The sequence below is a fragment of the Homo sapiens genome, chromosome 12, assembly GCF_000001405.40.
Source record: "Homo sapiens chromosome 12, GRCh38.p14 Primary Assembly".
Lineage (NCBI taxonomy): Eukaryota > Metazoa > Chordata > Mammalia > Primates > Hominidae > Homo > Homo sapiens.
The window spans coordinates 56,189,487-56,202,135 of NC_000012.12; the positions used below are offsets into that span (position 1 = coordinate 56,189,487).

Consider the following 12,649-nt stretch of genomic DNA (forward strand, 5'->3'; position numbering starts at 1 on the left):
GCCCGCCCCACTCAGCTCAGCTCCCGCCTCCTCCGCCTCCTCCTCCGCCCGCCTCCCGCCGCCTCCCGCCGCCGCGGCCGCCGCCTCCCGCCGCCTGGGCCGGCCCCGGTCCGCGCTGCGCCCCCTGCCGGCAGGCCGGGCGCGGCGGCGGAGCTCCAGGCGCGGGCCGACCCTGGCGGCCTCCCCGGCAGCGGAGGCGGGAGCCTCCGGGGAGAAGGACGCTTCCTGGAGGGGGCGCCATTCTCCTGAGATCGCTCTTACCAGACGCGAAGCCCTTTCCCTCTTTTTGCCTCAGCTCGGGAGTGTCACCTCGCTATCCCACTCCAGGCGGCCGCCAGTCGCTGGAGCAGCCCCAACCCGTAGACCCGAGTGGTCCTCACCTTGCGCATTCCTAACCCGACGAAGCCCCTCGTCCCCCAAAACCCCAAACCCCTTTCCCCAAGAAGTTCCTTCCTTCCATCCATTCACAGCAGCTCCCCATTTAAACTTTTCAGAGTCTCCCTCACTCCTCGCGCCTTGTCCACCCAGCACTCCCCTCACTTGTTAACCCAAATGTCCCCTAGTCGCCACCCTGGCGGCCCAGTGCCTTCCCTCAACTGCTTCCTCCGCAGGCCTCGCTGTCGCCTCCTAAGTAGGTGTGAGCTCCTACTCGAGACCCCGACTCTTCGCTAGGCAGGAGACCCTCCCTCCCTGGGTCACCCAGTCCATCCGACTCTTTTTCTTTGGGTGGCGTAGATAGGAGGTAAGGAACCGAGGGGTGGGGAGTCCTCAGGTGTGTGTGTGTCGGGGCCGGTACCCTGCTTCCGGTTCCCGCACGCATTCCCGGATTGCAGTGCGGACCCCTTCTGTAAGCGCGCGATAAAGCGCGGTTTTGGAAGTCACGGTGGCCGAGTGGTTAAGGCGTTGGACTCGAAATCCAATGGGGTTTCCCCGCACAGGTTCGAATCCTGTTCGTGACGGGTTTTTTTTTTTTTTCTTTCTTCTTCTTATTATTAAAAGGGAGTCTCGCTCTGTTGCTCAGGCTGGAGTGCAGTGGCGCGATCTCGGCTCACCGCAACCTCCGCTTCCCGGGTTCAAGCAATTCTCCTGCCTTAGCTTCCCGAGTAGCTGGGACCACAGGCATGCGTCACCATACCTGGCTAATTTTTGTATTTTTAGTAGAGACAGGTTCACCATATTGGCCAGGCTGGTCTCAAACTCCTGACCTCAGGTTATCTGCCCGCCTCGGCCTCCCAAAATGCTGGGATTACAGGCGTCGACTTTTTTAACCCCTTTCACAGCACATAAAGGTAACCCCAGTTCTCACACGTTTCTTTCGTGCACTTTCTCTCTCCAAAAGGGAAGCCGCCAAAAGGTCTTAACCCCTGGATTTGGGAGGATGGGAGTGATCTTGGGAAGTTTAATTATGCACGACTGTATTGGCTGCTAGACTGTGAGGCATTTTCAGAATTTTGTAACTTCAGGCTTCCTGGGAGAGCTTTGGCACATGTCTCATTCTTTTGAGGGCATAGGGAAGGATTTGGTTGAAGGGTTACATTTTGGGAATGTGAGTGGCTGTTTTGCAATATTAGTCAAACTTAGAGTTTCCTCTAAATTTCATGACCAGAAGTCACACCTTGTAGGTCTGATTACACCGAAGACCCAGGAAACAGGATTCTCTCATCTGGATTTCCTTGAGGTGTACAGGGCTAGAAGGGAGTAGTCTATTGAAACATCATTGCAGATCCAGTTAGAGCCAAGGTATGGGAAGATAATTCTCACTTTTTATTGAGTGCTTATTATGTGCCAGATACTGTTTTAAATTATCTATGTGTATTAACCAAGCAAGGAAATTAATCTCATCTTTAACCTTTAACCCTCCTATACTCATCTCACCCCATTTTTCCTATCCCCTAATTTCTGATTGTGGGGAGGATCTAGGCTGCTTGTTGAGGATTTTGTTGTTTGTTTTGGGGGGTTGTTTTTGTGACAGGGTCCCGCTCTGTCGCCCAGGCTGGAGTGCATTGGTGCGATCTCAGTTCACTGCAACCTCAAACTCCCAGGCCCAAGCAATCCTCCCTCCTCAGTAGCTGGGACTACAGGCATGCACCACCACGCCCAGCTAACTTTTTGTATTTTTAGTAGAGACGGCGTTCTGGGATTTCGCCATGTTGCCCAGACTGGTCTCAAACTCCTGGACTCAAGCAATCCGCCTGCCTCAGCCTCCCAAAGTGGTGGGATTACAGGTGTGAGCCACTGTGCCTGGCCAAGGATGTTCTTTTTGTATTTCTTGCACAGCCTTTTGTCCAAAAGGAATCCCAAAGGGCAGGGGGCTCTAGGGTAATACATAGAGCTTTCTACACATTTATACCTTAGAGTTTCCCACCTTCATACCACTGCTCAGGCTGTTATTTCCAGCATGACCCTCACATTGCCTCCCTGTCCCTCACCATTAACACTTTCCAAAATTCTTTAGGCCCCTCCTCTTTGATGCTCTTGATCACTCCAGCTGCCTGTCAGTCTACCACCACCACCATTCACTAAATTGCATGCAAGGACTTCTCCCTTGATATGCTAACATAAAAATAAAATAAAAACAGGGGTGGGTGTGGTGGCTCACGCCTGTAATCCCAGCACTTTGGGAGGCTGAGGCAGGCGGATCACGAGGTCAGGAGTTCAAGACCAGCCTGGCCAATGTAGTGAAATCCCATCTCTACTAAAAATGCAAAAATTAGCTGGGTGTGGTTGGCGGGCGCCTGTAATCCCAGCTACTTGGGAAGCTGAGGTAGGAGAAATCACTTGAACCCAAGAGGCAGAGGTTGCAGTGAGCCAAGATCGTGCCACTGCACTCCAGCTTGGGCGATGCAGCAAGACTCTGTCTCAAATAAAATAAAATTAAAATAAAATAGAAACAGGTTCCATTTATTTTACCTTCTAAATATGTCTCAAATATGCTCACTTTTCTCAGGGGTGAGTGCAGGCTGAGCTAGAGCCTTCATTTGGAAGGTAGTGGTATTTGTGAGCACCATACGAGGTAATATATAGAAAACTGCACTAAAGCATCCACACTGCAGTCCGGGACCTTAAACCCTTCTATGGCTGCTTTCTGTGTTGCAGGATATGACCCCTTTTCTCTCACCACTCTTCCATATTCACTACATTCTGTCCACTGGCATTCTTTTAGTTCTTCCTGGTAGTTATTTAGCCTTGCTCATGGTGTTCTCTGCCTGGAATAATCTTTCTCTTCCACACTTTCTACTCATTCTCCACCTAAATGTTGGTTCTCCTGTGGAGTTTTCTCTGACCACTTGTTGCCTACCACATCCTATGCTCTCAACTTATTATGTGAAGTCTTTCTTCCCCTGTGGCATATAAACACATTAAACACAGATAAGGAGTCAGTTTTTAAAATTTTTTTGCATAAATGGGTGTTTTTTACAGTAGTTATGTGTACATGTTTTAATCTTTAGACTGGTATATAAGCTTCTTGAGAGTTAGGGCTGTGTATTTTATTTATTTGTATCTTCTCTACAAGGCCTTATAGATGTGATCAACTATGTGTTGAATGAATTTATAAAATCTCATAGGCTCATGATTCTCCTTCCTACCAAATCCCAATTTGCACAGGTTCTCATATTTAAATATCTGGAGAGCCAAGACCAGAATTGACCAGCAGAGGGCAACCAACAACTATGTTGTGAAGGGAAGAAGGCTCCATGGTTTACAAAATGGAGGATCTGGACCAAGAAGGGAAATATGGCAGAGGTAGTTTGCTACTTGAAGTTCATCCCTTTTACTCTCAAATGCTTCTCTTGTAACTTTTGTGGGTGAGAGGCCGAGGCTTCAAACCTTCATATACAATAGATCATTTTAAATTTCTACCATCCCCATGTACCCACCCCATCTCCCCAATTCCTTCACCCTTCCTCTTCCACTCCAACAAATCCTAACTATTCTTTTACCTTTCTTTACCTTGCATGATCTGGCCCCCTCTCTCTCACCATTCTTACATATTTACATATCACCCACTGGCATTCTTTAGTTCCTGCTACAGTATGTGGCCTTCCATATTTTCCCTGAAGTAACCTTCTCCACTTAAGCCTGTAGTCCCACTCATTTAAACCTCCTAAGGAACCTTCCATAAATATCCTTCCATAACACCTTAAAATTCCTCTACTCCACTGGATCAATCCTTCATGAATTCAGTACAAACAAAACCCCACCTTCATTTGACACTTTCAAATTTCCACATTGTTTTCTACTTCCTTTTATTTTTCGAATAAAATGTATACCTTTCTGCCTCCAGTTCCATACTATCAGATACCCCGTCATCTGGTTTCTGCCTCCTGAAGTGTTTTGGTTTTTTTTTCTTTTTTACTTTTTTACTTTTTATTTTTTTTTGAGACAGAGTCTTGCTCTCTCACCTAGGCTGGAGTGCAGTGGCACAAGCTCGGCTCACTGCAACCACCACCTCCCAGGTTCAAGCAATTCTCCTGCCTCAGCCTCCCAAGTAGCTGGTATTACAGGTCCCTGTCACCATGCGCCTGGCTAATTTTTTTTTTTTGTATTTTTAGTAGGGACGGGGTTTTGCTATGTTGACCAGGCTGGTTTTGAACTCCTGACCTCAAGTGATCCACCTGCCTCAGCCTCCCCAAGTGCTGAGATTACAGGTGTGAGCCACCGCGCCCGGCCTCCTGAAGTTTTTTAGACGTTAATAGAAACCACTGGACAAATTTAATAATCTCTTCTCAGTCTCCATCCTTTCTGTGTTTGAAACAACATTGATTTCTTACTGGCCTTCAGAAACACTTATTGTTTTTCTCCTTCTCAGTATACTGCTTCTCCACCTCATTTGCTTTCTTCTTCCTCCTGTGGAATTTCCACCAAAGCTTCATTCTCCCGAGACAAAATCTCAGAGCCACCTTTCCAGGTATGTCCTCAGCTAAACCATGGTCCTTTATCTCCAGCTGTTCACATCTCTGCACAGCTGACCTAGTGTCACCTAATATGCAAACAAAGCTTCTCTTCCTCTCTCACAATCATCGTTCTGAACTTTTCCCACTTTTGTTGATACCACTATTCACTCAATTCCTTCATTTCCAGCTCTAAGAATTAATTATCTGAAGTTTGTTTTCTCCCAAGCCCATCACACTGATTCATCAGTTGCTTCCCCAAGCACATCATCTTAATTCATGCCTGTTACGATGGCCTTCAAGGTGCCCTAGTTTCACCACACTGAAATCCACCCTATATTAGTGTGATTACACTGCTTTCATCATATTATTCCCCTGTCCAGGAACTCAGTTCCCCATCTAAACAAACACATGATCCTATTATCAACATACCCTGCCTAAATTGCCCGTTTTTCTTACCCTTACATCTTTCCACTAAGATACCTTCCATCTAATCTGGCTGGTCATCTCCGTGTGACAGCCCAACCCCTGCCATCCCTCATGAAGTTCCTTCTCTTTACTAACTAGGTAGTCTCACCATATAATGATCTTTTCAGCAATAAATTCTTAGATCTTAAAAGTATTATTATTTTGCCTGGACACGGTGGCTCACGCCTGTAATTCCAGCACTTTGGGAGGCCGAGGCGGGTGGATCACCTGAGGTCAGGAGTTTGAGACCAGCCTGGCCAACATGGTGAAACCCCGTCTCTACTAAAAATAAAAAAATTATCCGGGCATAGTGGCGCATGCCTGTAATCCTAGCTACTCAGGAGGCTGGGGCACGAGAATCGCTTGAACCCCGGAGGCAGAGGTTGCAGTGAGCCGTGATCGCACCACTGCACTCCAGCCTGGGCGACAGAGTGAGACTTTGTCTCAAAAAAAAAATTAGTCTCACTTTGTCGCCCAGGCTGGAGTGCAGTGGTGCGATCATGGCTCACTGTATAACCTCTGCCTCCCAGGGTCAAGGGATTCTCCTGCCTCAGCCTCCCGAGTAGCTAGGATTATAGGCGCACGCCACCACACCGCCTTATTTTTGCATTGTAGAGACAGGATTTTACCATGCTGCCAGGCTGGTCATGAACTCCTGACCTCAAGTGATCCTCTCACCTCGGCTTCCCAAAGTGCTGGGATTACAGGCATGAGCCACTGGGCCTGGACTTAAAATTATTTTTATGTAACTAACTTTTTTTTTTTTTTTGAGACAGAGTCTCACTCTGTCTCCAGGCTGGAGTGCCGTGGCGCCATCTCGGCTCACTGCAACCTCCGCCTCCTGGATTCAAGTGATTCTCCTGTCTCAGCCTCCGGAGTAGCTGGGACTATAGGCACATGCTACCACGCCCAGCTAATTTTTGTATTTTTAGTAGAGATGAGGTTTTACCATGTTGGCCAGGATGGTCTCACTCTCTTAACCTCGTGATCCACCTGCCTTGGCCTCCCAAAGTGCTGGGATTACAGGCGTGAGCCACCGCACCGGCTGGTAATGTTTTCTTTTTTTTTTTTGAGACAGAGTCTTGCTCTGTCACCCAGGCTGGAGTGCAGTGGCGCGATCTTGGCTCACTGCAAGCTCCACCTCCCGGGTTCACGCCATTCTCCTGCCTCAGCCTCCCCAGCAGGTGGGACTACAGGCGCATGCCGCCACGCCCGGCTAATTTTTTTGTATTTTTAGTAGAGACGGGGTTTCACCGTGTTAGCCAGGATGGTCTCAATCTCCTGACCTTGTGATCCGCCCGCCTTGGCCTCCCAAAGTGCTGGGATTACAGGCGTGAGCCACCGCGCCCGGCCAGTAATGTTTTTTAAAGCTAAAGTTGGGGAAGAACTATATATAAGATTTGAGATAGGATCTTGCTCTGTTGCCAAGGCTGGAGTGTGGTGGCACGATCTTGGCTCACTGTGACCTCCATCTCCCGGGCTCATGCGATCCTCCCACCTCAGTTTCCCCAGTAGCTGGGGACTACAGGCATGCACCACCACACCCAATGAACTTTTAAATTTTTTATAAAGACACAGTTTCACCATATTGCCCAGGCTGGTCTTGAACTCTTGGGCTCAAGCAATCCACCCACCTTGGCCTCCCAAAGTGCTGGGATTACAGGCATGAACCACTGCACCCAGCAATAACTTAGTATTATCCTCTTTCAAGTTGTCGACTTGTTCCAAATTCTAAGAGGCTTGGGTCTCTGCAGTTTTTTTTTTTTTTTTTTTTTCTTGAGACGGAGTTTTGCTCTTGTTGCCCAGGCTGGAGTGCAATGGCGTGATCTTGGCTCACCGCAACCTCTGCCTCCCAGGTTCAAGCGATTCTCCTGCCTCAGCCTCCTGAGTAGCTGGGATTACAGGCATGTGCCACCACACCCGGCTAATTTTGTATTTTTAGTAGAGATGGGGTTTCTCCATGTTGGTCAGGCTGGTTTTGAACTCCCGACCTCCAGTGATCTGCCCGCCTCGGCCTTCCAAAGTGCTGGGATTACAGGCATGAGCCACTGTGCCCAGCGGGTCTCTGCAGTTTATCCAGTAAAGCAAATCATTTTAAGACTTGGGCTGAAATGACCTCATCCTACACTTGCATCAGGGATGCTCTCATGGCAGAAAACATTTCCGGAACTCCTTCACAGCTAGTTTATGAGCCACATTTAAGTGATTCATTACTTCAAAATTACTTTTAAAAAATTAGCCAACTTTATTATGCATCTATTTGCCAGATTTTGTTCCAGATTTTATCTGGAATTCCTCATTCCAGATAGCTAAGAAGTCCCATTCTTAGCCTTCTTCCTGTTCTTAAGTGTTTGCATGCATTCCTAGCATTTCTTGATCTCTTCTGGGCAGATAACTACTCCATACACATCTTTAGCCCTAGCTTCTTGTTTTGTTTTGTTTTTTTTGAGACGGAGTCTCACTCTTGTTGCCCAGGCTGGAGTGCAATGGCGGTGATCTCATCTCACTGCAACCTCTGCCTCCTGGGTTCAAGTGATTCTCCTGCCTCAGCCTCCCAAGTCGCTGGGATTATAGGCATGCACCACCACGCCCAGCTAATTTTTATTATTTTTAGTAGAGATGGGGTTTCGCCATGTTGGCCAGGCTGGTCTCGAACTCCTGGCCTCAGGTGATCCACCCACCTCAGCCTCCCAAAGTGCTGGGATCACAGGTGTGAGCCATTGCACCTGGCCCCTAGCTTCTTGTTCTTAAGCTCCAGACCATGTTTCCATTTCCTGACTAAACACATCTATGTGGGGGCACTCCCAACCCAGTGTTCCCCAGATGAACTCATTTCTTCACCCCCAAAACCTGCTCATCCTCTTCTACTCCCTATTTAGGCTAATGATACCATGTTCTCATCCACAGTCTGGAAATCTCCATCTTTATCTGTGACTCATTTTTGGTTACTTGTCCATGTTTTTTGTTTGTTTGTTTGTTTGTTTTTGAGAAGAGTCTCACTCTGTCGCCCAGGCTGGAGTGGAATGGTGCGATCTCGGCTCACTGCAACCTCCACCTCCCAGGTTCAAGCAATTCTGCCTCAGCCTCCCAAGTAGCTGGGATTACAGGTGTGCACAAGCACGCCCAGCTAATATTTGTATTTTTAGTAGAGACGGGGTTTCACCATATTGGCCAGGCTGGTCTCAAACTCCTGACCTCAGGTGATCCACCCACCTCGGCATCCCAAAGTGCCGAGATTACAGGCATGACCCACCGCGCCTGGCCTGTTGTTGTTTTTTAAGAGATGGGTCTTACTCTGTTGGCTCACCATAGCCTCTGGGCTCAAGCAATCCTCCTGCCTCAGTCTTCCAAGTAGCTAGTACTACAGTCATGCACTACCATGCCCAGCAATAGTGTCTTTTTATTAAAAGTTGTTAGGATGACTAAATTAATGTTTAATGTTTACAGTAGTGCCTCACAGTAAATAATCTGGCCATTACATTTCTTTATTGCCAGTGTCCAATCCTGTTCAGAACTTAACCCTGATGATTCCTTTACGAAGCCTTCCTTCCCACATTCCACCAGATATGTAGTTGGCCCCTTTCCTCCTCATTGTCCCATTGTACTTAGTCCCTATCTATTAGCAACATACTATTCTATATTTCCCATTATTTGTTGTTCTAGTGTGTGTCACCTACAATGCTGCAAGTTCCTTTAAAGTCTGTTCTTATTTTTTTTCTGAGACAGGGTCTCATTCTTGGCACTCAGGCTAGAGTGCAGCGGCGCAAACACAGCTCACTGCAGCCTCAATCTCCCAGGCTCAAGAGATCCTCCCACCTTAGCCTCCCAAGTAGCTGGGACCACAGGCATGTGCCACTATGCCACTTTTTTTTTTCCATAGAGACAGGGTCTTGCCATGTTGCCCAAGCTGTTCACAAACTCCTGGGCTCAAGGAATCCTCCCACCTTGGACCCCAAAGTGCTGAGATTACAGGCGTGAGGCACTGGCCCCTTTAAAGTCTTATTTCTCAATTATTTATACATCTTAAATGCTTGGTACTATGTCTAACACATGACAGGTACACCATAAATGTTGGCTGAATCTAATCAGTTACTAAAACCTGTCAATTTTTCTTCCCAAATGTCATTCTCTCTTTCCTGCAGTATTTCAAGCCCTTATCCTCTGCTTCCTTGAATTACTACAAAGCTCACTAACACTGCCAACACCAGTTTCTTACATTCTTCCCATTCTTGCATTCTCTCAGTTTCTTGCATTCTTTCCAGAGTAATGGGTTGGAAGTCATTCCTCTTCTCAAAAACTTACCGGTAAAGTCCAAATTCCCTAGCATGCATTCAAGGCCTTCCAATAATTGGCCCCAAATTACTTCTAGTCTTATCTTCCATTATTTCCCTTCATTATTCGTCTTCCAGTAAACTCTATGCTCCAGATTACATTAGTCTCTGCCTTCTTCAACATTTTCTTCACCCTTTTTTTTTTTTTTTTTGAGACAGTTTCACTCTTGTTGCTCAGGCTGGAGTGCAATGGTGCGATCTCGGCTCACCTCAACCTCTGCCTCCCAGGTTCAAGTGATTCTCCTGCCTTAGCCTTCCGAGTAGCTGGGATTACATGCACCACCACGCCCAGCTAAAGTTTTTTGTATTTTTAGTAGAGATGGGGTTTCTCCATGTTGGTCAGGCTGGTCTCAAACTCCTGACCTCAGGTGATCCACCCGCCTCAGCCTCCCAAAGTGCTGGGATTACAGGTGTGAGCCACTGCACCCAGCCCTCTTATTTGTTTTTATTCATGCTGGGATCTCAACTTAAAGTGCATATTGGTGGACCTTACTTTTTGTTTTTTGCCCACAAGCATTTTAAGCAGATGAGGTCTCAGGACAGGGCGGTGGCAGTGAGCCAACATCACACCACTGCGCTCCAGCCTGGGTAACAGAGTGGGACCCTGCCTCAAAAAAAAGGAGACGGGATCTCAGTCTCTCACCCAGGCTGGAGTGCAGTGGTGCAATCACAGCTCTCTGTATCCTTCAATTCCTGGGCTCAAGGGATCCTCCCACCTCAGCCTCTCAAGCAGCTGGGACTACAGGCACATGCCACCACACTTGGCTAATTTTTTAAAAATTCTTTTTGTAGAGACAAAGGCTCACTGTATTTTGTAGGCTGGTCTTGAACTCTTGGGCTCAAATGGTCCTCCCACCTCAGCCTCCCAAAGTACTAGGATTACAGGCATGAGCCACTGTGCCTGGCCCACAAGCTTTTTCTTTTTTTTTTTTAATTTGGGCCAGCACTTAAAAGCTGTGAAATTTAGCATAGCCAGGCACGGTGGCTCACACCTGTAATCCCAGCACTTTGGGAGGCCGAGGCAGGTAGACCACCTGAGGTCAGGAGTTCGAGACCAGCCTGGCCAATGTGGTGAAACCCTGTCTCGACTAAAAATACAAAAACTAACTGGGCATGGTGGTGGGTGCCTGTAATCCCAGCTACTCGGGAGGCTGAGGCAGGAGAATCACTTGAACCAGGGAGGCGGAGGTTGCAGTGAGCACCACTGCACTCCAGCCTGGGCAACAAGAGCAAAACTCGGTCTCAAAAAAAAAAAAAAAAAAAAAAAGAATCAGGCTAATGATGGGGCAATAGGGCATATCTCCTAATGTTACAAAATGAAGAACTTCTCTCTCCTGTGATGTGTTCTATCCCCAGAACTGTCTAACTTGAATCTCTCAAGGCCCTATCTAATTTTGTTTAGTAAAACGGGCTAGGCCAGGCGCGGTGGCTCATGCCTGTAATCCAAGCACTTTGGGAGGCCAAGGCGGGTGGATCAGTTGAGGTCAGGAGTTCAAGACCAGCCGGCCCAACATAGGTTTAAAACCCCGTCTTTACTAAAAATACAAAAATTAGCCGGGCATGGTGGCACGTGCCTGTAGTCCCAGCTACTTGGGAGGCTGATGAGGCAAGAGAATCACTTGAGCCCAGGAGGTGGAGGTTGCAGCGAGCTGAGATCGTGCCACTGCACTCCTGCCTGGGGGACAAAGCGAGACCCCATCTGAAAAGAAAAAAAGCAGTCAAGTTCAAACGACCATTCTCCAGAAAACTGGCTCAATCTTTTCTTTTCTTTGAGACGGAGTCTTGCTCTGTCTCCCAGGCTGGAGTGCAGTGGCACGATCTCGGCTCACTGCAAGCTCCGCCTCCTGGGTTCACGCAATTCTCCTGCCTCAGCCTCCCGAGTAGCTGGGACTACAGGCGCCCGCCACCACGCCTGGCTAATTTTTTTTTTTATATTTTTAGCAGAGACGGGGTTTCACCATGTTAGCCAGGATGGTCTCGATCTCATGACCTCGTGATCCGCCCGCCTCGGCCTCCCAAAGTGCTGGGATTACAGGCATGAGCCCCCGCGCCTGGCCAATCTTTTCAACAAATTAGGGTTACACAAAAAAAGGTGGTTTCATGAACCCAGATAGAGGGTAAAAGAGAAATAACCTGATGTAATTCGTGGTCCTGGATTGGACCCAGGTTTAGACACAAATTAGCTACAAAAGGACTTTTCAGACAGGTGCAATGGCTCACACTTGTAATCCCAACACTTTGGGAGGCTGAGGTGGGCAGATCACTTGAGCTCAGGAGTTTGAGACCAACCTGGGCAACATGGTGAAACCCTGTCTCTACAAAATATACAAGAAACAAATCAGCTGGGCATGGTGGTGCACATCTGTGGTCCCAGCTGCTTGGGAGGCTGAGATGGGAGGACTGCTTGAGCCCAGCAGGAGGTCAAGGCTATAGTGAGCTGTAGTGAGTCGTGATTGTGCCACTGCACTCTAGCCTAGGTGACAAGAGTGAGATCCTGTGTCAAAAAAAAAAAAAAGACTTTTCTTGGGACAATTAGGGTAATGTAAACATGGGTTTGTAGTAGATTATTCATTATACATTGTTAATTGTAAACACTTGTTATTTAGGTAATGTCAAAAATATTTTTATTTTTCCAATGTATATACTGAAGTAAAAAATTAAGACAATGAAGCCAGGTGCAGTGGCTCACACTTGTAATCCCAGCACTTTGGGAGGCCAAGGCAGGTGGATTCCTTGAGCTCAGGAGTTTGAGACCAGCCTCAGCAACATGGTGAAACCCCATCTCTACAAAAAATACAAAAAATTAGCCCGGTGTGGTGGCGCATGCCTGTGGTCCCAGCTACCTAAGAGGCTGAGGTAGGAGGATCACTTGAGCCTGGGAGGTGGAGGTTGCAGTGAGCCAAAATTACGTCATGCACTCCAGCCTCAGCTACAGAGCCAGACCCTATCTAAAAAAAA

At 47.7% G+C, this 12,649-nt stretch overlaps 1 long non-coding RNA gene and 1 other non-coding gene across 3 annotated transcripts, besides 2 other annotated features; both read left to right on the forward strand.

Moving 5' to 3' along the window:
* Window positions 24-303: a silencer, noted in NCBI's record as "silent region_4549". NCBI's record gives its function as "represses an Ori minimal core promoter by ATAC-STARR-seq in GM12878 lymphoblastoid cells {active_cell/tissue: GM12878}" and the evidence as "EXISTENCE:reporter gene assay evidence [ECO:0000049][PMID:35858748]".
* Window positions 544-643: an enhancer, noted in NCBI's record as "active region_6480". NCBI's record gives its function as "activates an Ori minimal core promoter by ATAC-STARR-seq in GM12878 lymphoblastoid cells {active_cell/tissue: GM12878}" and the evidence as "EXISTENCE:reporter gene assay evidence [ECO:0000049][PMID:35858748]".
* On the forward strand, window positions 878-959 carry TRS-CGA4-1 (tRNA-Ser (anticodon CGA) 4-1). Its single transcript has one exon. It is a non-coding gene; the product is annotated as a tRNA-Ser (tRNA).
* LOC107984468 (uncharacterized) lies at window positions 1,200-5,531 on the forward strand. Of its 2 annotated transcripts, XR_001749092.2 has the most exons (3): window positions 1,200-1,289; window positions 1,623-1,740; window positions 3,607-4,284. It is a non-coding gene; the product is annotated as an uncharacterized LOC107984468 (long non-coding RNA). The 2 variants fall into 2 exon arrangements; XR_007063330.1 differs by having other exon boundaries at window positions 1,206-1,740; window positions 3,607-5,531.
* Window positions 5,532-12,649: the final 7,118 nt, after the last annotated feature.